The 23,641-nt window shown below is 41.8% G+C and overlaps 1 protein-coding gene and 1 pseudogene across 17 annotated transcripts in view; one reads left to right on the top strand and one right to left on the bottom strand.

The window, feature by feature from the left end:
* The window catches only part of SYN3 (synapsin III), a 550,562-nt gene that overhangs the window by 30,276 nt on the left and 496,645 nt on the right, over positions 1-23,641 (top strand). For 9 of the 17 annotated variants that reach the window (NM_001135774.2, NM_003490.4, XM_047441527.1 and 6 more), the window contains exon 2: positions 21,282-21,754. In NM_001135774.2, coding sequence (NP_001129246.1) covers positions 21,444-21,754 — 311 coding nt within the window. In that variant the 5' untranslated portion in view covers positions 21,282-21,443. Of the gene's footprint in view, positions 1-13,180; positions 13,706-21,281; positions 21,755-23,641 lie in introns of those variants that run through there. The other 8 variants (NM_001369909.1, NM_001369907.1, NM_001369910.1 and 5 more) reach the window with 4 other exon arrangements.
* Positions 12,645-13,126, bottom strand: ETFRF1P1 (ETFRF1 pseudogene 1; annotated as a pseudogene).

The raw sequence follows: 23,641 nt of genomic DNA, 5'->3' as shown, positions 1-23,641 counted from the left end.
ATTCTGTAATTAAAACTGGACCCAGGACCTAGACTGCCTGGGTTTGAATCCCAGCTCCACCACTGAACTAGACACACAGCCTTGGGGAAGGCACTTCATCTCCCTGTGCCTCAGCCTTCACGTCTGTTAGATGCAAAGAGTGTTGATAAGCGTTTGTATTTGTACAACTCATAAGGTTGTTATGAGGATGAAATGAACCAACGTTCAATAAAACTCACCTCTCTTTGCTCAGCTCTTTGTCTCTTCACTGATGAAATGAAGTTGTTGAACTGGATCCTCTGAAGATTCTAGTTGAGAATTTTCGGCACAACAATGTGTGAAGTGAGCTCTGCTTTTGCCACTGACCTACTATTTGATCTTGGATGAGGAACTTAACCCCTGTGAAGTTTTCTTTCTCTCTCTCTCTTTCTTTCTTTCTCTTTCTTTCTTTTCTTTCTTTTTCTTTCTTTTCTTTCTCTCTCTCTCTCTGTCTGTCTGTCTGTCTTTCCTTCTTTCTCTCTTTCTTTCTTTTTTCAGAGTCTCACTCTGTCGCCCAGGCTGGAGTGCAGTGGTGTAATCTCGGCTCACTGCAAACTCTACCTCCTGGGTTCAAGTGATTCTCATGCCTCAGCCTCTGGAGTAGCTGCAATTACAGACGTGAGCCACCATGCCCGGCTAATTTTTGTATTTTTAGCAGAGATGGGGTTTCACCATGTTGGCCAGGCTGGTCTCAAACTCTTGACCTCAGGCGATCTGCCTGCTTCTGACTCCCAAAGTGCTGGGATTACAGGCGTGAGTCACCGTGCCCGGCCTGAAGTTTTCATTTTGTTTGTTTAAAGGAAATGATAATACCTACATGACAGATTCTAGTTAATACCTGAATTAGAATATATACGTCATATATATATATGTAGATAGATATATATCAGAGTGTTTTGCACTTTATAGGTCCTCAGTAAATGACAGCAATGAATTTGACATTGGAAACACTATAGAGGGAAGTTCTATATTGAGTAAGAAATCACATCAACTCTCAAGTCTGTTTCAGATTCAAATTTAGTTCCTGAAAAAGCAGCTCTGATTTAATGGAGAAATGGAAGATACAGAACCAAGAAGGAGGAAAATAAAGAAGGGAGGCAGGAGGGAAGAAGGAAAGAAAATAAAGAAGGGAAGAAAGACGGAGTTCCCAAGAACGAGCCTCTGGTGAAGTGCCCTTTTCTAATGGGATAAAAACAGAAAAGATGGAGTTTGTGCAGTATACAGTCGCCACGTTTTCTCAACAACATCAGGATACCAATGCTTTCTGGGTTTTCTTTGTCAGGGATTGAGGGAGCATTTTCAGCTCTGATTCTGGAAATGGCTAGGGTGTGGGTTCCCAACCAGGTCGATGGGCATGGCAGCCATAGCTCTGGGAACTAGGAGTTGGGGAGTTGGTCCTCCCAGGGGCAACAGGACCAGTCAAGGAGTGAGATTCAAGGCAGAGCCTAGACACTGGGACTCACCGGATTACTGGGAACTGGCTTCATAGAGAGCCCAACTGGTCAAAGGAAAATGAGGAACCCAGGCTAAGGTCAGCCCTTGGTTCAGTCAGATACTGTATTTTTCAGGTAATAGGGTGTAGTATTTTGACCTGAAGATAATGCAACAGCCCAGGGTACCATTGGACATCAAGCTCTGAGTCTGACTGGCAAAAAAGGTGATCTGGAGCACTCCAGGAGCCTTAGTCCTGGTGGCTGGTTTTGGAAAAGTGAGTTGATCATCAACCCTTTCAGACAGGGCCACAGAGAGTATCAATCAGAATTTTCCCAGAAAATGGAGAAAACCTCCATTTATTCTGTTATTAACTAAGGGCCTACAAGGGGCTATGGGTTCAAAGCTGAAATACAGATACACCGTCAGCAAGCCTGAGATCTGAACCAATGTTCACTATCAAGAGTTACTGTAATAAACAACACAGACCCCCAATGGCATGAATGAAAGGGATTTGTTTTGCTCATGTGCCTTCAGGTTGGCTAGGAGTTCACTCTTCTTGGCTGGGCTCTAAGATGCAGCCATCTAGTTGGCTCTAAGGTGCAGCTTGAGTCCAGGTCTCCTCTCACTTGCTCCTTGGATTCGTGGGACAGCCAGGACATGCTTTTCTCATGGCAGTGACAGAGGTGCAAGAGGGCAAGTAGAAACATGGGACGTCTCTTTGGCTCATGGTTCAAAACTGGTCACTATCAAGGCTCCCCTGATTAATCAAAACTGGTCACATGATGGGGCCTGGTGCAGTCACATGACTACCCAAAGTCAGTGGGCAGGAGAGTCACTCAGCTTCTACTGGGAGAACTGAAAACTCACTTGGCAAACTGTAGACCTTGGGGGCTGATGAAGAATTGTGGCTAATAATTCAAACTGTAAATTGCCCTCCCCAACATAAGCATATTTATTTATAAATCATGAATACTGAGAAAGTTGCAGATACCAGGATGAAATCTTTTTTTTTTTTTTTTCCAGACGGAGTGTTGCTCTGTCACCCAGGTTGTCACCCAGTGGTGCGATCTCAGCTCACTGCAGCCTCGGCATCCCAGGTTCAAGCGATTCTCCTGCCTCAGCCTCCTGAGTAGCTGGGATTACAGGCACCTGCCACCATGCCCAGCTAATTTTTGTATTTTTAGTAGAGACCAGCTTTCTTTTTTTTTTTTTTTTTTTTTGAGACGGAGTCTTGCACTGTCACCCTGGAGTGCAGTGGCGCAACCTCCACCTCCTGGGTTCAAGCGATTCTTCTGCCTCAGCCTCCCAAGTAGCTGGGACTACAGGCATGCACCACCATGCCTGGCTAATTTTTGTATTTTTAGTAGAGACGGGGTTTTACCATATTGGCCAGGCTGGTCTCGAACTCCTGACCTCATGACCACCCGTCTCGGCCTCCCAAAGTGCTGGGATTACAGGCGTGAGCCACCATGCCTGGCAGTAGAGACCAGGTTTCACCATGCTAGCCAGGCTGGTCTTGAACTCCTGACCTAGTGATCCACCCACCTCAGCCTCCCAAAGTGTTGGGATTACAGGCATGAGCCACTGTGCCCACCAAAATAATTTTTGTCAGACTCAGACAAAATGGGGCCAGAAAGGAGAGGAGACTCATACTTACCTGTCTGAGATGAGAACTGTTTTCAAGGACTTTCTAAAATCACTTTCACGTCCTTCACGCATCTCCTGCTTTGATAAATCACTCGACATTCTTTAGGACTGCAGTAATTCAGATAAGATGTTCTCGGAAGAACACTTGCCCAGTAACGGCATCTCCCCCAACGAACTAACAACAGCCTCTGGAACCAATGAACTGTCTTTCTAAGCAGCTTATGTAAATCTCTCATTGCTATAAAAGCTCCCCTTTATCCTTCCCTCATTGAGTGCACTGGTGGCTTGTCATTTCATGCATTCCGGATTATAATCTTTATTGTATTCCAGGACAAACCCAACATAGCTAGAGAGACTTTTCTCTAGTGTCTTTTAAGATTGACAATACTTTACTAATATATTGTGTCCATAAAATGTACATGCCAAAAAGAAATTTAAGGGTGAGATCAAAGATTGGAATGAAAGTGCTAACCATTTTTCCCTGTACTCCAATGTACCATCTTGGAAATCCCTAGGGGACAAGTGTCCCATTTTGGAGATCAAGACCAGCTGCAGTGAATCATTTGGGTCATTTAGAGAGCTTGATCACATGCAGATTCCAGGCTACTACTTTTCCAGCTTGTGGAATCAGAGCCTCTGGAGAGGAAGCCTGGGAATTTGTATTGGTGAGAAAGTTCCCCAGATGATATGGGCGCATATTAGAGTTTGATGCTTACATTAAAAAAGCCATAGGTCTGTGATGGAAAGAAGCTCAAGAGTGGCCTCTAAGAACACTGGAATTGCACTCCACCATACCCAGTCTGGAGGGTGCTGGTGGGTGGTCAGGAAAGCCATTCTGAATGATTGATACAGAGTTGAGTTCTGAGAAACAACAAGACCTAGTCATGCCACAAAAGAGAAGGAGGCTGTGCCCGGCAGACATTGCTGCCCGTGGAAAGAGCTGTCATTGAGAGAGTGCCTTCCTTGCTCAGGGAACGTATGGTATCCTGAGTGTCCACACTCAGGAGAGGATCTAGCCCAGAGAGGCCAGCGTTCTAGATGATCACCAAGGTGGACACCTCTCCAGCTTCAGTTTGGAACCAAAAAGTCCAGAAATAATATTGTGAGATAGACTAGAATACATATATGATTGATTTTAGAGTAGGTGAGTATTGCTAAAAATCATTGAAATTTATTTTGAAGGGTTCATCTGGAGCAACAATCACAGAGGGGCCCAGGTGACACTTGAGCTCCAGACCTCACCTTATCAAGGGCTTCCATTTGGATTCTGTTTGTTTGAGACAGCGTCGCACTGTGACCCAGAGTGTTTAGAATCATGCAGATTGTGCAGAGACACAATCATGACTCACTGCAGCCTCAACCTCCCAGGCTCAAGCAATCCTCCCACCTCAGCCTCCTGAGTTGCTGCGACCACAGGCATGTGTCACCACCCATGGCAAAGTTTTTGATTTTTTTGTGGAGACTGTGTATTAGTCCATTCTCATGCTGCCAATAAAGATATACTTGAAACTGTGTAATTTATAAAGGAAAGGGGTTTAATGAACTTCCAGTTCCACATGGCTGGGGAGGCCTCACAATCGTGGTGGAAGGTCAAGGAAGAGCAAAGGCATGTCTTTCATAGCAGCAGGCAAGAAAGTGTGTGCAAGGGAACTCCCCTTTTATAAAACCATCATGTCTCATGAGACTTATTCACTACCACAAGAACAGCATGGGAAAGACCTGCCCCCATGATTCAGTTACCTCCCACTGGGTCCCTCCCATGACACATGGGGATTTTCACAGTTCAAGTAAGATTTGGGTCGGGACACGGAGCCAAACCGTATCAGGCAGGGTCTCCCTGCGTTTCCCAAGCTGGTCTCAAACTCCTGGACTCAAGCAATCCTCCTGCCTTGGCCTCTCAAAATGGTGGGATTACAGGCATGAACCACCATGCCTGGCCACTTAGATTTTTGACATGACCTTCAGATGAGGGTCCTGATAAGCTAGAGGCAATCCAGCATGATTATTAGATAATTCAAAGCTTGGGCCCCAGTCCTGGCTAGTGCTGCCTGTAGGGCTCTATAAATTCTGTTCGTAAATAAATCCTGTGAATATTTTTTGGAAAATTCAGTTATTGTTACCTTATAATCTTAGGAAGTTAAATGCTTTAATTTGCTAAAGGTAAGTGTTCATTTACATGAAAATTTTTTGGGACCTTGTTTTGGCATTTCTGTATTTGAATATATTTCAGTTTGTGGGAGTGGTTGCAAATAAATGGAAGAATCTCGTCTCCTCTCTTGACTTCGAGGAGACCCTCTCCCACAAAATTTCCTGACACCCTGGGGTGTTCTCCAACCAGAGGAGGGAGTTGTTTGTGCTCACTCACCTACAAATCCTGTTTCCAAAGCCCAAATTCTTCTTGTCTGGGGACCCACGGTGTCCCACTCACGAGAACAATGATGCTACCCACAGGAGATCAAGGCCTGTGTGGGTGGATTTGAACTCATCAAAGACAGTGCATGTTTTCCTGTTGATGTGGCTGGAAAAGAGCTTTGGGGTCAAAAGGGCCAGCAGGTCTGTGTGTGAGAAAGGAGCAGGATGGAGCTGCTTCCTCAGCAGGTGCATGTTGGACCTGCTCTTCAGGAAGTTAAGCATCTTTTAGCTTTGCAGCTGGAGTGACACAGTCTACGGAGTTCTCAGCCTGTCCCTAGACTTCACTGCCTATGCTCATTAATACATTGCTAAAGCCCAGGTTATGTTGTCTCCATGAATTTTAAAATTTTCTGCTTGTGCAGAGGGGATTTTAGCATTTCAGGATTAATTACCTAAATACTGATTCCTAATAGGGAAGGAAAAAAATTGTTTTAGCCCTCATCGAGTGGAGAATTTATAAGCCGTGTTGTGTTTACATGGGGGACAGGGAGAATCAGTCAGTCCTTTGCATTATTCCAATTTTCGTTCAACTTAGGTTTATGTGTCAGGCACTGTGACAGCTGCTTTCTTTTGTATAATCACAGATTTAATCTTCCCAAACAACAAGTGAAGATAGTTTAACTTCATCCTTGTTGTTTTAAACAGGTTTACTTAACAAATATATATTGAACCTCTACTATGTGCTAGGCACTGTTTCTAGGTGCTTAGAGTACATCAGTGGACAAGTCAGACGATGGTCTCTCTCCCTGGGGAGCTTACATTCTATGAAAGGGAACAGAAAATGAAGAATAAGCAAAAAAAAAAAAAAAATAAGTTACAGTATATAGTTTATAGAAGATGGTGCATGCTATGGAAAAAAAGAACAAGTAGGATCCAAAGTACCAGACAGTGGCAGTCAGAGGGGAGGCTTCACTGAGAATGTGACATTTCAGCAGGACCTGAGGGAGAGGTGGGTGGGCCACGCATGTGTCTGTAGACAGAGAGTTCCAGATGAAGGAACAGACAGTGCAAAGGCAACTAATGCACAGGAAGTTCAATCACTGGAATTCATCTTCTTTCTTTGTTATCTAAGAAATGTGCCAGGCCTTGAATATTTCTTATCTAATGTACCATTGTAGGAGAGCCAGGTGTTAGGCTGTGAAACACTACGTCATCAAGATTAAAAAGCAATTGTATGGGGGGTGATGGAACTCTTCCATATCTTGGTAGTGGTGGTTCCCTGAATGTGCTAAAACTCATAGAACTATACACCCCCAAAGTCTATTTTATTCTATGTTAACTTAAAAAATAAACATTTGGAAAAGCACTTTAGTGCACTTGATTTTGGTCTGCTCAAAGACCTGTGAAGTAGGAAGGGCAGGGTATTGGTATCCCCACTTTGCAGATGAAGAACCCGTGACTTAGATGTCACTGAGCTGCAAGAGGCAGAGGTGGGGCTCAAAGTCAGATCCATGCCAAAGCTCATTCTCATGTAAATACTGCACCTGCCGTGTTGCCTTCCAAACTAACCACACTGTCAGACTTTCTGGCAATGGGAAACACATTGTCTAAAAAAAAATCGGAATAATAATAGCAGCTGACACAGATTGTTTACCATGTGCCAAGCACTGTTTTAGATACTTGGCATATGTTAAGTTGCAGGAACTCTATGAGGTAGGTACTATTATACCCATTTTGCAGATAAGAAAACTGAGGCACAGAGAGGCTAAGTAATTTTCTCGAGGCTTTGTAGGTGGTAGATAGCAAAATTGGGATTGGAACCCAAGCAACCTGGTCCCAGGATCCATGAACTTAACCTTCAAGCTTACTGCCTCTGTCTACCTGTGTCCAGCACCAGAGTGCTGAGGCCATTGTAGTCCTTAGCCTGGGTTTGGGAGGGGGCTTGCACTTGAAGAGTCCCTTTTATATAGGATTTGTTTTCAAAGTGGTATAGGTTGGCCTTTTGTATGACCCAATCTTGCAAAAGAAATTTCTCCCCTTTTGCTTGTCATGGTGCCCAAAGTATCATCAATAGAGTCACCTCAGTGAATCTTAAAGACTGAGCAAAAAGATTGCTTTCAGGCCTTATACCTTATACCATTGGAAGAATCATTTTAATAGCGTGATTGTATTGAGGTGCTGGTACTCTGGGCTGGGCATCTGGCCTGTCCTCCTCTTCAGACACCCTCTCTTATTCTTAAATACCCCATCTCCTATGTCCTGAGGCTTCTCTGAATTAGAGGCTCCAATGACAAGGTCCTGCCAAGAGATCTGATCTTAGGGGTGAGGTATTGAGAAGAAGAAGAAGTGAGGAAGATGGGTTTTGAAAGAGGTACAGGATCCAGAAATAAACCTCACCACTTTCTCCATTTTCCTAGGATTGGGTCTATGTGAACAAACACGTTTCCATGGTTAACTATTCAACTGAATACTTCTCCTCTGGAGGAATTAAATCTGAAGGTGTTTGGTTAAATGCTTTGGGGCCTCTATGTGACTGTGGGGCCTCTGTGTTCAGAGTCTCTAAGCATTAATGACTCTCAGGGATGGTTGAAGTCAGGAATAACAATTCTGCATCCTGATGATATTGTAAAGATACCACTACTAAAAACGATGTTTCATTACTATTATTTGTATAATCATTCATTATTTCAAAAGCACGTCTGTGCATTCTTTCATTTGATCTTCCCAGTAGCTTCATGTGGATTGCTAAGAATAAGCAATGGGGCTGGGCGTGGTGGCTCATGCCTACAATCCAAGCACTTGAACTCAGGAGTTGAAGACCAGCCTGAGAAACATGGTGAAACCCCTCCTCTACAAAAAATACAAACATTAGCTGGGGGTGGTGGCACGTGCCTGTAGTCCCAGCTACTTGTGGGGCTGAGGCGGGAGGATGCAGTGAGCCAAGATCGCGCCACTGCACTCCAGCCTAGACCCAGTCTCAAAAACAAAAGCAAAACCAAAAACAAACAACAACAAGAAAATCAACTGTAATAAATAAATAACAGCAGGAGCTAGTACATGTAGTGCCTGACATGTCAGGCCTTGCACTGTGTCACATCAGTTATCTCATTCAGTGTTCATATCAATTTGTAAAGTAGCCGTTATTTTTTATTCCTGTTTTACAGATGAGGAAACTGAGGCACGGAGGTTGAATAAGCCACCCCAACTCTCATAGATATTACATGAGTAAGTGGCAGAGCTGGGATTGGAACCAGAGTCTGTCTGCCTTTGAAACCTGTGCTCCCAGTTACAGGTTTCATGGCCTCTCTAGGTATCCAGGCAGTGAAGGAAAAGGGGAATAAGATGCAGTATTCCGGGCAGAGGGAAAAGTATATACAAAGGATATGGACTTTTGGAAGAGCATGACTCATTAGAAGAGTTTCATCCTGCATGGCCAAAGTAGCAAGGAAAACCTTGAAGAAGATGGCAATGATTAAGGTATTTCTGGGTTACAGTGTGTCCTTTATCCTAGGGATATGTGGAAAGTCACGAGGGGGCTTCCTCTGGTTAGGGTTGTAGTTTGGAAAGCTCTCTCTGCTCTGTGGAAAGTTGACTGAATGACTGAGCTTAGAGGGAGGGAGCTGATTAGGAGCCTGTTGTAATAGGCAAGGGGAGAGAGCTTTAGCAGCACGTGAACCAAGTCTATGGTAGGAATGATGGAGAGGAGGGGATGATGCTGAAGATGTTAGTGGAGACAGAGTTGACAGGACTTGGAGATTGAGTGGCTGAAACTCACCAGGGTTAAGGAGGAGCAAAGTGTGAGACTTAGGTTCAGGTCTCAGTGAGTGGATGGGTCACAGGGTTCCGGAAGTGGGGAACCCAGGTGCATAAACTCATCTGAGGGTGAGCAAGGAAAGAAGTTTGGGGTGTCAATGAGTCACCCAAGCAGACATGTCCACTCTCCTGTCCAGGCTGATCAGTGGCTCATCTCTTCTCAAAGTAGCTGTTGCCGCTGTGGGGCAGCTCTCATTCCTCCTGCTTTGATGCAAAACGTATCCTTATGATTTTCACCTTACTTCTGGTTCTGGCTTCACCATCAAGTATGGAAAGTCTTTCATCCTTTATTTAACCTTTCCCAGTGAAGTTTTTCTTCATGCCACAGCCTCCAAGAAGTAAGCTTGCAAACTTGCCTTATAAAGTCTCTTTTTCTGTCTGGTCTGGTCACTCCTGCCCTCTAGTGGTTAGTGCTAGGGCAGCATGGGGCTGGGTACCCACGGGGCCTACTGGGTTCTATCCCAGCCCGTCTTCCCTGCCTTCCTGTCTTTTCCTAGGCTTTCACCAGAATCCCTCTCATCCGCACCTTGTCTTGCCATCAGATTAAGTTTGGCATTGGAGCGATATCCTGTGTCCTGTCCTAATGATTCAAGAGGAAAAGACCTTGAAAATTACATAATCCAGCTCCCCACTTTCACATCTGTGGACCAAAATGACTACAACGGCCTTCTAACCTGTCTGGCTCCTTTCATAGACACATCCTCTAGGTCTATTTCTACACAGTGGCCAGGTAGACCAGATATCCCTCTTGTCTCTAACCCTCCAATGGCTTACTTTCACAATTGGCTTCAAATCAAAATTGATTTCAACATGGCCCTTCATGATCTGACCCCTCTCTGCTTTTCTAAACATTCTCTTACAAGAATCTTGTTCTAACTTCCTGATGGAGCTGGCCATCCCTCTGTTCTTCAAATGTGCCTTGCTTTTTCCTACCTTAGTGCCTTTGCTTATACACTTCTCTCTCCCCATCCTTTATGTTTCAGCCTAAAGATCACTCCTGAAAGAAGTGAAATTGTCTCTGTTTGCTGATGACATGATCTTAAATATAGAAAATCCTAAAGATTCTACAAAAAAAAAAAAACCTGTTAGAACCGATAAACAAATTCAGTGAAGTTGCAGGGTACGAAATCAACACGCAAAAATCAGTAGCATTTTTTTATACTAACAACAAACTAACTGCTAAGGAACTTAAGAAATCAATTTCATTCACAATAGCACCAAAAAATGAAATGCTTAGGAGTAAATTTAACCAAGGAGGTGAAAGACCTTCTTACTGGAAACTATAAAACATTGGTGAAAGAAATTGTAAGTGACACAAATAAATGGAAAGGTATCCCGTGTTCACGGATTGGAAGAATGATATGTCCGTACTAACCAAAATGATCTGCAGATTCAATGCAATCCCTATCAACATTCCAATGTTATTTTTCATGGAAATAAAAAAATCCTAAAATTTGTATAGAACCACAAAAGAATCTGAATAGTCAAAGCAATTTTGAGACAAAAGAAGAAAGCTAGAGGCACTTGAAATCTATTACAAAGCTATAGTAATCAAAACATGGTACTGACAAATACACAATGACCGATAGAACAGCAAAGAGATCCCAGAAATAAACCCACACACTTACAATCAATTGAAATTTGACAAAGGTGACAAGAACACACAATGGAGACAAGACAGTCTCTTCATAAGTGATGTTGGGAAAATTGGATATCCGTAGGCAGAGGAGTGAAGTTGGACCCTTATCTCACATCATACAAAAAAACACCTCAAAATAGATTAAAGACTTAAATATAAGACCTGAAACTATAAAACTACTAAAAGAAAACAAAGGGGGAAAATTCCATGACATTGGTCTGGGCAATTATTTCTTGGACATTGTCCAAGTGTCTCCAAAAGCACAGGCAGCAAAAGCAAAAATAAACAAATGGAATTGCATCAAACTAAAAAGCTTCTGCAGAGCAAAGAAGCAATGAATAAAGATGCAACCCAGAGATTGGGAGAAAATATTTGCAAACCATACATCTGATAAGGGGCTAATATCCAAAATATATAAGGAATTCAAACAACTCTATAACAAGAAAATAAATAATCCAATCAAAAAATGGGCAAGTAAACCAAATAGACATTTCTCAAAAGAAGACATACAAGTGGCTAACAGATATATGAAAAAAATGCTCATTATTACTAATCATCAGGGAAATGCAAATTAAAACCATAATGAGATCTCACCTCACACCTGTTAGAATGGCTATTATCAGAAAGATGTCAGATACAAGTGTTGGAGCGAGTGTAAAGAAAAGGGAAAACTTGTGCACCATGAGTGGGAATGTAAATTTTTTGTCTTTATGATAAAATAATAGAATGACATTATTTATTTCCTTTTATCAAAGAAGCTAATTGATACACAACAGGTGACTTGGTTTCAGGCCCAAAGGTAGCAGCAGCAACATTAATAATGGAAATAATTGAATAGTTATGTATGTAATGCCTGTCACCAGAAGGCTATTTCAAGTTCAGCAGGAATGACTCCATACATATTATTATTTCTATAACTACATTTAAGTCATTACCAGGAACTGCTTTGTTTTGTAGTGAACCTTGAATATGTGCTGTTAATGTACCAAACTGGGGAAAAAAATAAGGGATTCCTTTCAAAAGTTAAGAGAAACAAGTGTGTAAGAAATTATTTTGTGGCTGGGCGCGGTGGCTCACGCCTGTAATCCCAGCACTTTGGGAGGCCGAGGCGAGTGGATCACCTGAGGTCAGGAGTTCAAGACCAGTCTGGCCAAAATGGTGAAACCCCGTCTCAACTAAAAATACAAAAAAAATTAGCTGGGCGTGGTGGCGGGCGCCTGTAATCCCAGCTACTTTGGGAGGCTGAGGCAGGAGAATCACTTCAACGTAGGAGGTGGTGGTTGCAGTGAGCCGAGATGGTGCCATTGCACTACAGCCTGGGCAACAAGAGTGTAACTGTCTTAAAAAAAAAAAAAAAGAAAAGAAAATTTGCCTATTAAATGTTCAGTATGTGGCATTCTCTTGTCAGTAAAATGGAAAAATAAGCTAAAAATAATTGGCTAAGTCCTATTAAGTTACAAGATTAAGTGTATTATATTTTCATTCAAAATTCGGTGCTCATTAATTTATAATCGGTAGTATAGCTAAATTGCTATCTTTGTATAAAAACTGAGCATAAAGTTGCTGATAAATCTCTCAGTATGAACAGAAGTTGAAACCTATTTAGTTCAGTAGGGCAGCTCAGGGATTTTTTTACACAACATGTACATCTTCCCATTTTAAGTTAGAATTATTTTACAATAGCTGGTGTACAGAAACAGCTGGCACTGGTTGTCAGCTAAATTAAAGTAGTAAGGATCAACTAGTTTTTGTTGATATCTGAATAACAGCGTTGTTTCATAGCTTTGTATTTCCTAAAGAAATATAAGGCTTCTAGCTCTTTCATTACAAATTCGCCCTGTACAGTAAGTTCTTTGATCTTCTCTGGATTCTTCACGTCTTTGTTTTTAAGGAAAATGTTGTTCAAACGCCGTTTAAAATAGTCTGCTCCTTTTGGATAGTCTCGTCCAAGATACAGTAGTTTTTTTTTTTTTTTTTTTTTTGAGACGGAGTCTCACTCTGTCGCCCAGGCTGGAGTGCTGTGGCGCCATCTCGGCTCACTGCAACCTCCGCCCCCCGGGTTCACTCCATTCTCCTGCCTCAGCCTCCCCAGTAACTGGGACTACAGGCGCCCGCCACCACGCCCGGCTAATTTTTTTGTACTTTTAGTAGAGACGGGGTTTCATCAAGATACAGCAGATTTTTATAAAGATTTAGTACTTATCCTCTTAAAGAATTGGCCATTTTCATTTATCATGTAAATTATCCACTTTTATGCATAACATACTTTGCCTCCAGACCCCAGGATCCCGGAAACGGAACAAAACTCCCCGGCGGCGGCACTCAAGCACCTTCCACTCACGCACTTTCCGGCACGCCGGAGCCGTAAAAGCCTCGACCGCTTCTACGACTCTTGTCCTTCGACTGCGAAGCTGGCTTTTTTGAGACAGAGTTTTGCTGTTGTTGCCCAGGCTTGAGTGCAATGGCGCGATTTCGGCTCACCGCAACTCCCGCCTCCCGGGTTCAAGCGATTCTCCTGCCTCAGCCCCCCGAGTAGCTGGTGCTACAGGCACCTGCCACCACGCCTGGCTAATATTATATTTTTAGTAGAGACGGGGTTTCTCCATGTTGGTCAGGCTGGTCTCCAACTCTGGACCTCAGGTGATCCGACCACCTCGGCCTCCTAAAGTGCTGGGATTACAGGCGTGAGCCACCCTGTCCGGCGGGAATGTAAATTAATACGGCCATTATGGAAAACGGCATGGAGGTTCCTCAGAAAACTAAAAATAGAACTACCATATGATCCAGCAGGCTCACTTCTGGGTATGTATCCAAATATATTGAAATCAATTTATCAGAGCTATCTGCACTCCCAGGTTCATTGCAGCATTATACCCAGTAGCTAAGATATGGAACTAACCTAGGTGCCCATCATCAGAGGAATGGATAAAGTAAATGTGGTATATATACACACGATGGAATACCATTCAGCCTTAAAAGGAGGGGGAAGCTAGGACCCATTGGCTTATGCATGTAATCGCAGCACTTTGGGATTCTAAGCAGGAGAATTGCTTGAGGCCGGGAGCTCGAGACCAGCCTAGGCAACATAGTGAGAGCCCCGCCCCCTAATTTTTTTTTTTTTTTTTTTTTAACTAGCTGGGCATCTTAGTACACGTCTGTAGTCCCAGCTACTCTGGAGGCCGAGGTGGGAGAGTCACTTAAGCCTGGGAGGTTGAGGCTGCAGTGAGCTATGATCACACCACTGCACTCCAGCCTGGGCAACAGAGTGAGACCCCATCTCAGACCAAAAAAAAAGGAGGGGAAAATTCTGCTATTTGCTACAACATGGATGAACTTGAAGAACATTATGCTAAGTGAGATAAGCCAGGGACAGAAAGACAAATACCACATGATCTCACTTGTAAGTGGCATCTAAAACCATTGAACTCATAGAATTTGAGAGTAGAATGTGGTTGCCTAAGGCTGGAGAGGGGGCTGAATGGGGAAAGCGGACATGTCGGTCAGAGAGTACAAAGTTTCAGTTATGAGAGATAAGCCCTTGTGATCTTTTGCACAGAATAGTGACTTTACAGTCACTATAATGCATTATAAATAATGCATTGTATATTTCAAAATTGCTAAAAGAGTAGATTTTAAATTTTTTTTCCACAGAAAATGATGTGTGTGAGATGATAGATTTGTTAATTAGCTTGACTTAATCATTCCACAATGTAAACATAGCAAAACATCACAGAAATATATATAATTATTGCTTGTCAATTGAAAATGAAATTTTTAAAAGTAACTTTCTCAGAGAGGCCTTCTCTAACCATCCTCTCTGCAAAAGTCCTGCCCCAAGTGAATTTCGATGACCACACTCTGTGTATTGTTTACTTGCACTTACCCTAAACCATAAATGTTTGTCTGCATGTTCATGATTGGCCTCCCTTTGCCAGCCTGTAAGTTCCACTGGGGCCTGTAGTGGGCAGAAGTTACCTGAGAAGCCTTTGACTAACATTGGAGTAGGTCAAAAGATGGTAAGAGGTGATTTTTTTTCAAAGTCAGGGAATTCATATCAATGGAAGGTTGACCAGAGTTCCTGAAGAAGGAATTGTTAAATAAACTCTAAGATCCCTTCAACCCTAACATTTTAACTTTTCCATCTGGTATTTGAAAAATGGAAGGGGCTCAGTTCCAGTAATGACGGCATAGCCTAAGTTGAACTAAACCTCTCACAGATGATAATGATAAACTTTGGAAAAAATCTTTAAAACGATTTGAGGTTGCTGGAGAAAAACAAAAAATAGACAGGAGGTGGACAGGATTTGACCCTTGAAGGAAGGAAAACCACACCCACTTAGTGAAATATACATTTAGGTGGCTCTTCCCACGCCACCTGGCATGGAGCAGCTGGAACTCAAGTGGAGAGCTGCAGCTTTGCTGGTTTGACAAATCAGGGGGCAGAGTATAAGCTCACAGAGTGGCTGGAAAATGAGGACATCTAAAGAGATGCCCCAGGTCCATGTGCCCACTAAAATCAACTGGCACCTCTGTTGAACCTGTGATGGTTCTGTCTGTCTCTCAGCCCAAATCTGCTTTTCATTCCTGCCCACAGTTGTTGAGCATAGATGGAAGCACTGCCTAATAAACTTCCTGCTTGCAAGTCACCATGGGAGTGTCAGCTACCTGGGGAATTGGACTTGAAAGCAGTCTAAGTAATATTTGTAGAGCATTACACCCAGCAACCACAAAATATGCATTCTTTCCAAGTGCATCTGGAACATTCATCAAGGTAGACTGTATTGAACCATAAAATTAATCTTAATGAACGGCAAAGGTTTAAAACCTTATAGACTGTGTTCAAGAATCACAAATGAATTATATTAAAAGCATTAACAAGACAATAATTAAAAAGCACTGAAATTTGAAAATTAAATGCATGTTTTAGTAATACATGGGTCAAAAAATTATAAGGGATAAACAGAATAATTTAAAATGAATGATAATGAAAATATGTCAGAATTTCTGGGAGGGAAGCACATTGCTTTAAATACTTATATTGGGGAAAAAAAGAGTTTAAAATTAATGATCTGTGTTTCCAGCTCAAGGCTCTAGAAAACAGAATAGCAAATTAAACTTAAACCAAAAGTAAGGAGAAGAAAGGAAGTAATAAAAAACAGAAATAAGTGAAATAGAAAACAAACAATGGAGAAATTGAAAAGGCTGCAAGTTGGTGCCCTGCAAGAGTAATACAATTTATAAATTCTTAGCAACATGGATCAGTCAAAAAGAGAGAAAAAGCAAATTACCAATATCAGGAATATCAGGAGGAATCATAAGATCCTACAGAAAGGATATGTTATGAACAACTTTATGCCAGTAAGTTTCACAACCAAGATGAAATGGACAAAATGCTCGAAATCACATATTGTCAAAATTGAGATAAAAAGAAAAACAAAATATGAATAGCTTTATAAAAGAGATTGAATTCATTATTAAAAACTTTCCCACAAAGAAAAACCAACCCCAGATGGTTTCACTGTTGAATTCTGCCAATAATTTAAGAAAAAAAACACAATATTACACAGACTCTTTCAGAAAATAGAAAAGGAGGGAATGCTTCCCAACCTATTTTGTGAGGTTAATATTACCCTGATACCAAAACCTAGCAAAAACATTGCCAAAAAATAAAACCACAGACCAATGTTTTTTTGTCATGAACATAGACACAAAAATAGCAAAATATTATCAGATTGAATCCACCAATATATAAAAAGGGTAATACACTATGATCAAGTGGGGTTTATCCCAGGAATGCAAGTTTGGTTTAACATTTAAAAATCAATCAGTATAATTTACCACATTGTTAAGCAAATAAATGGTTTCAAAAACATATAATCCTCTCAATAGATTTAGTAAATCACTTGGCAAATTCAACTCCCAAATGATAAGAACTCTCATCCAAATAATAATAGAAGAGAACTGCCTGAATCTAATAAAGTGGATTTACCAAAAACCTCTAGTTAACACCACATTAATGGTGAGATACTGAGTGTTTCCCCCCTAAGATTCGGAACAAGGTAAGGTGTGTGTTTTCATGATTTCTGTTCAATATTGGAGGTCCTAGCTAGGACAGTCAGATAAGGGAAATTAGTAAAAGGCATTCAGATTAGAAAGAAAGAAGTAAAGATCTCTATTTATAGATGACATTATTTAAATAGAAAGTATCAAGGAATCTATAAACAACTAGTAGCAACAATACTTGAATTGAGCATGTCAGTATATTGAAAATAATATTATACTAGCAGCAAACAAATGGAAAGTGAAATTTAGAAAACAGTGTCATTTTAAAAACATGCAAAAAACCCCAAACGAAATAGGAATAAATTTAGCAAAATGTATGCGAGATCTCTATATTGAAAATCACAAAAAAATTTCTGAGTAGAGGGGTCTACTGTGTTCATAGAGAACCCAATATTGTTCAGTGACAATTCTACTCAGTCTATGCAATCTCGAACAATATTCCAACAGACTTTTTCATAAAAGTTGATTTTAAAATGCATATGAAAATAGGACCTAGGATATCTAAGACAATCTTGAGACAGAAAATTTAAGTTGGAGGACTCACTTTACCTGATTTTAAAACTTTCTGGAAAGCCATAGCAATCAATAAATGTAAGAATAGACAGAGAGATCAGTGGAGCATATTAAACATAGTCCAGAAGTAGGCCCACACATGTACAGCCAATTGGTGCCAACAAGGCCACCAAAGCAATTTAGTGGGAGAAAAATACTTTCATAAATGGTGCTGGCAACCTGGATAAATGAACGGGGCTGAAAATGAACTTCATACCCTACTTCATACCACTCAAAAATCAAGTTTAGTTGGATCCCCGACCTCAACAGAAAAGCTAGAACTATAAAGCTTCTACAAGACACTGTAGGATGGTATGATTGTGATCTTGGGGTTGGCAGATTTTTTTTTTTTTTTGGGACAGAGTTTTGCTCCTTTTGCCCAGGCTGAAGTGCAATGATGCGATCCTGGCTCACCGCAACCTCCGCCTCCCAGGTTCAAGTGATTCTCCTGCCTCAGCCTCCCAAGTAGCTGGGATTACAGGCATACACCACCATGCCCAGCTAATTTTGTATTTTTAGTAGAGACGGGGTTTCTCCATGTTGGTCAGGCTGGTCTCGAACTGCAGACCTCAGGTGATCCACCCACCTTGACCTCCCAAAGTGCTGGGATTACAGGCGTGAGCCACCACGCCCAGCCTGGCAGAGATTTTTAAGAACAGACACAGAAACACTAACCATAAATGAAAAATTTGATAAATTAGGTTTCATAAAAATAAAAGTTTCTGTTTATCAAAACATCTGCAGATATATATAAGACTTTATATATATTATATTTATATTATATGCATATATAAGTGTGTGTGTGTGTGTGTGTGTGTGTGTGTGTGTGTGTGTGTTTAGATACGTATATATGAAAGGATATGTAAAGTATTCCCAGTACCCAAAATACAGAAGTGTGGTCTCATCCTATAGTATAATTTTTTTTTCTTATTGGGATGCTTTTATCTCAAATAAACAATTCACTTTTTTAAGAGTTGTTTTATTCTGCCATACTTCTGCTCATGAAGGAAATGAAGCAGCAAGCCACAGAATGGTAGAAAATATTTACAATGTACGTATCTGAGAAAGGACTTGTATCTAGAATGTATAAAGAACTCCTACAAATCAAAAATAAAAAGATAAACAACCCACCTTTTAGAAATGGGCCAAAGATTTGAATAGATATCCACAAAAGAAGATATGTCACTGGCCAGTAAACCCATGAAACTTGTTCAATGTCATTAAATATCAGACAAAATAAATTTAAAACACAATAAGATACTATGCTACACCCACTAGAATGGGTAGGATGAAAACGACGACAACCAAATGTGAGAAAGGATGTGGAGGAACGGGAACTCTCAAATGGAGTGTGCAAAATCAAACAACCACTATGGGAAACTTTTTGACAGTTTCTTATTTAGACATACACTTACCCCATGACCCAACAAATTAACTCCTAGGTATTTTCCCAAAGAAAAGATCTACTTCTCAATTTATCCATCCATCCATTCATCATCTATCTATCTAGCCCCACAAAAAGACTTAAATAAAAATTTCTTGCAGCAATTTATGCATAATTTCTGAAAACTGCAAACATTTCCGATTTTCTTTTTCTTTTTTCTTTTTCTTTTCTCTCTCTCTCTTTTTTTTTTTTTTTTTTTTTTTTTTTTTTTTTTTTTTTGAGATAAAGTCTTACTCTGTCACCCAGGCTGGAGTGCAGTGACGTGATCTTGGCTCACTGCAACCTCCACCTCCTGGGTTCAAGCGATTCTCGTGCCTCAGCCTCCCCAGTAGCTGGGCGTACAGGCCCACACCACCACACCCAGCTTTTTAAAAAAAATTATTTTTACTTTTAGTAGAGAGAGAGTTTTGCCTTGTTGGCCAGGCTGGTCTCAAACTCCTGGCTTCAAGTGATCTGCCCACCTCAGCTTCCCAAAGTTCTGGGATTACAGGTGTGAGCCACCATGCCTGACCTCAAATTTTTATCAACAGGAGAATGGAGTAGCAATTTGTGGTTTATCCATCCAGTAGAATGGTATTCAGTTATTTTAAAAATAGAATGACTGCTATACAACATATTGCATCTCAGAACCATTGAGGGAAGCAGTTATTAACAAAAGCATAATATATTTGATTACATTTATATGAAGTTCAAGAACAGGTAAAATTAATAAACGGTGACATGCATCAGAAGAGTATTTGCCTGTTAGGAGATGTGGAGGGACCAGAAGGGGTACAAAAGAACTTTCTGAGGTGTAGAAATATAATAAACATTATACCAGTATATACATTTATCAAAACTCAAAGAAGTGTATACCTAAGAACTGTGCATTTCAATCTTAAGTAAATTTTACTGCAATAAAAATACTGGCTGGGCACAGTGGCTCACGCCTGTGATCCCAGCACTTTGGGAGGCCAAAGCAGGCAGATCACTTGAGGCCAGGAGTTTGAGACCAGCATGGCCAACATGGTGAAACCTCATCTCTACTAAAAATACAATAATTAGGTGGGCGTGGTGGTGGGTGCCTGTAATCCCAGCTACTTTGGAGGCTGAGACAGGAGAATCACTTGAATCTGGGAGGTAGAGGTTGCAGTGAGCCAAGATCGTGCCACTGCACTCCAGGCTGGGTGATGAAGTGAGACCCCGTTTCAAAAAAAAAAAAAATTGTATATAATAATCTTAACAAAAAATATAAAATCTAATTCCATGGTTTAAATAGTCATTGTTCTCAATGGGATGTTTTGATCTCAAATGAACAGTGTGGGTTTTTTAAACTTATGTTACTCTGTTTAGAAAAGCAATAGATGTGTATATTATCTGCTTGTGCTGACATAACAAAATACCATAGGCTGGGTGAGTTAAACAACAGGTACTTATTTCTCACAGTTCTGGAGGCTGGGAAGTCCAAGGTCAGGGTGTCAGCTTTGCCTGGTTCTGGTGAGGGCTCTCTCCTGGTTTGCAGATGGCTGCCTTTTACCTTTGCTTTCACACAGTGCAGGGAAAGCAAGCTCTCTGGCATCCTTTCTTATAAGGGCTGTACTTCCATCGCGTGGGCCACACCCTCATGACCCCACTAACCATAATTACCTCCCAAAGGGCTCATTTCCGAAGCATCATATTCAGCATTATCTTCAACATATAAATTTGGTGAGGTGGGGGACATGCCGGTCCATAGTAATAAGCACTCTAGAAAATTAGAAAAATATAAGTAAGAGGAAAGAAAAAGAAAAAAAGGCATGTACTTGCGTTACCAAAATATAATCACTGTTAACACTTTGATTTCTTTTATTTCCAAAGTTTTGTTCTTTCAACTTGTACATCTTTGTAGTCATTTGGTTCCTATAATTTTGAATCATTATCTTTTAAATTTGTCATTAGAACATGAAATTGTTTCTGTTACCAAAATCCGTTCTTCAGGGCACCTTTAAAAATAGCCACAATAGGTTCATTGAGTAACTGTGCTGTAGTTGACTTATTTGTTAAACTGTGGTTGAATGTTGAGATACTTCCCAGTATTTCGCTAGTGTAAATAACCTGTGATTAACATATTTGTGCATGAAGCTTTTTCTGTAACTTAGAATCTTTCTTTGCGATATAATTCCAGAAAATGGAAATTGTAGGTTAAAAAGCTATCCTCTTAATACATGTTGCCAAATTCCTTTCCAGAAGGATGTCCTAATTTACATTACCACCTGCAGTGGGGCAGGAAAGCGCTGTATCTGTTTGCTCTTAAGGGGGTGGAGGTCGTTTCCACTTATGTATTTGTTGGCTTATTTCCAGCAGGTAAATAAAGGCAGCTAAAGCTGACTGCTGGTTGCGCAAAATCCCCCTGGCTCTTCTGGCTAAAGTCCTACCACTCCCTGTACCTGGCAGCAGCCTGTCTTCTGGGCCTCACCTACACACGTCTGGGTAGGAGCCAGTCATCTCCATCCATCCACAGCCATGAATTTCCTCCGGCGACGTCTCTCTGACAGCAGCTTCATGGCCAACCTGCCTAATGGCTATATGACGGACCTGCAACGCCCAGATAGCTCCACCAGCTCACCTGCTTCCCCCGCCATGGAGAGGAGGCACCCCCAGCCCCTGGCTGCCTCCTTCTCCTCTCCAGGATCCAGCCTTTTTAGCTCCCTCTCCAGTGCCATGAAGCAGGCCCCTCAGGCCACCTCAGGACTGATGGAGCCTCCAGGTCCCTCCACGCCCATTGTTCAAAGACCCAGGATCCTGTTGGTGATCGATGATGCCCATACAGACTGGTAAGTAGGAATTTGCAAGTGCTACCACCTTCTGGGGCAAGAGAGGAGTGGGGATTATCTCATCTCCTGGGGAAATAGAAGGGGAGAGCTATGAGAGGCTTGGGTGCTATCAGAGCCTGGCTGGAGAGAAGGAAACTAACATGTACCAAGTGGCTGCTGCATGCTAGGCCCACAGCACCTACTTAGTGCCACATTCTCTTCTAAGGGCTTTATATTTACAGGTCCACAGTCCCTCGCCTGCAAATCCCAAATCCAACACACTCTGGAAACTAGAAAATGTTTTGCAATTCTTTTGGTAGCAAAGCCTAATCTGCAGGAAAGTGAGGCTATAATTATACTAAGTGTGTTTGTTCATATGATTTGCTGCAAGCATCTGAATGTGTTTGATATGGAGTATAGTTCAGAGCCTGCTGGAAGTGTTATATAAAATATGGTATATTCACCATATTACCTTCCTAAAAATGGAAAACTTTTAATATCTGAAATACGTCTGGCAGTACTTGGCAGATTAACCTGTCAGCCTCAGCCACCCTCCTTCCATAAAATGAGCTTGTTATGAGGATAAAAGAAAGCAATACAAGTCCACAGTCCTTATCCCAAACCTTGGGATCAGAGTGCCTGAGTGTGCATCTCAGCTCTCCCAGGTACTGGCAGTCTGGCTCCAGAGCCTGTCTTCTGAACACCAAAGGTGGGCAGAAATGACCACTGCCAGCCTCTTCTCAGACAGTGCTCCCTAGCTGGTAAGTTCCACAGTGGCAGAGACCTGATACCTGTGTCAAGATCACTGTAGCAGTCATTCACCAGGTAGTTTACTGAGCACTGATTCGGTGCCAGGCATAGCTGAGATGCATGGGTATAGTAGGGAACAGGCTCCTGCTTATGTGGAGCTGCATTTGGAGAATAAGTCTATCCCAGCTGTTTGGTACTCAGAGGTGATAAATGTTATCAGTCTAGCTGGAGACATAGAAATTGCAGTTCAGGAAGTGAGCCCAACTATGGAGATGGAAGCATTGCATCCAGAGCAGAGGAATACATGGATGGGAACCAGAAAAGTCTGACAGTGGACTCATACATGGCTTTTGGGGATGGAGAACAGGGTCGCATGTGCATGTCTCCAAAGGTGGCCACATAGTAGGTGTATCAGTCTGTTCTCACACTGCCTGAAGAACTGCCCGAGACTGGGTAATTTATAAAGGAGAGAGGTTTAATCAACTCACAGTTCCACGTGGCTGGGGAGGCTTCAGGAAACTTACAATTATGGTGGAAGGCACCTCTTCATAGGGTGGCAGGAGAGAGAATGAATGAGTGCCAGGTGAAGGGGGAAGCCCCTTATAAAACCATCAGCTCTTGTGAGAACTCACTCACTACAATGAGAACACCAACGTGGGGGTAACCACCCCCAGGATTCAAATTACCTCCCTCTGGGTCCCTCCCATGACACATGAGGATTATGGGAACTACAATTCAAGATGAAATTTGGGTGGGTACACAGCCAAACCATATCATTCCACCCCTGGCCCCTCCCAAATCTCACATTTCAAAACACAATCATGCCTTCCCAACAGTTCCCCAAAGTCTTATTCCAGCATTAACCCAAAAGTCCAAGTCCAAAGTCTCACCTGAGACAAGGCAAATCCCTTCCTCTTAGAAGCCTGTAAAATCAAAAGCAAGTTAGTTACTTCCTAGATCCAATGGAGGTATTGGCATTGGGTAAATACACGCATTCCAAATAGGAGAAATTGGCCAAATCAAAGGGGCTACAGGCCCCATGCAAATCTGAAATCTAGTGAGGCAGTAATTAAATCTTAAAGCTCTGAAATAATCTCCTTTGACTCCATGTCTCACATCCAGGTAACTCTGATCCAATGAGGTAGTAATTAAATCCTA

The sequence above is a fragment of the Homo sapiens genome, chromosome 22, assembly GCF_000001405.40.
Source record: "Homo sapiens chromosome 22, GRCh38.p14 Primary Assembly".
NCBI lineage: Eukaryota > Metazoa > Chordata > Mammalia > Primates > Hominidae > Homo > Homo sapiens.
This window is presented reverse-complemented; position numbering and strand designations above follow the sequence as displayed.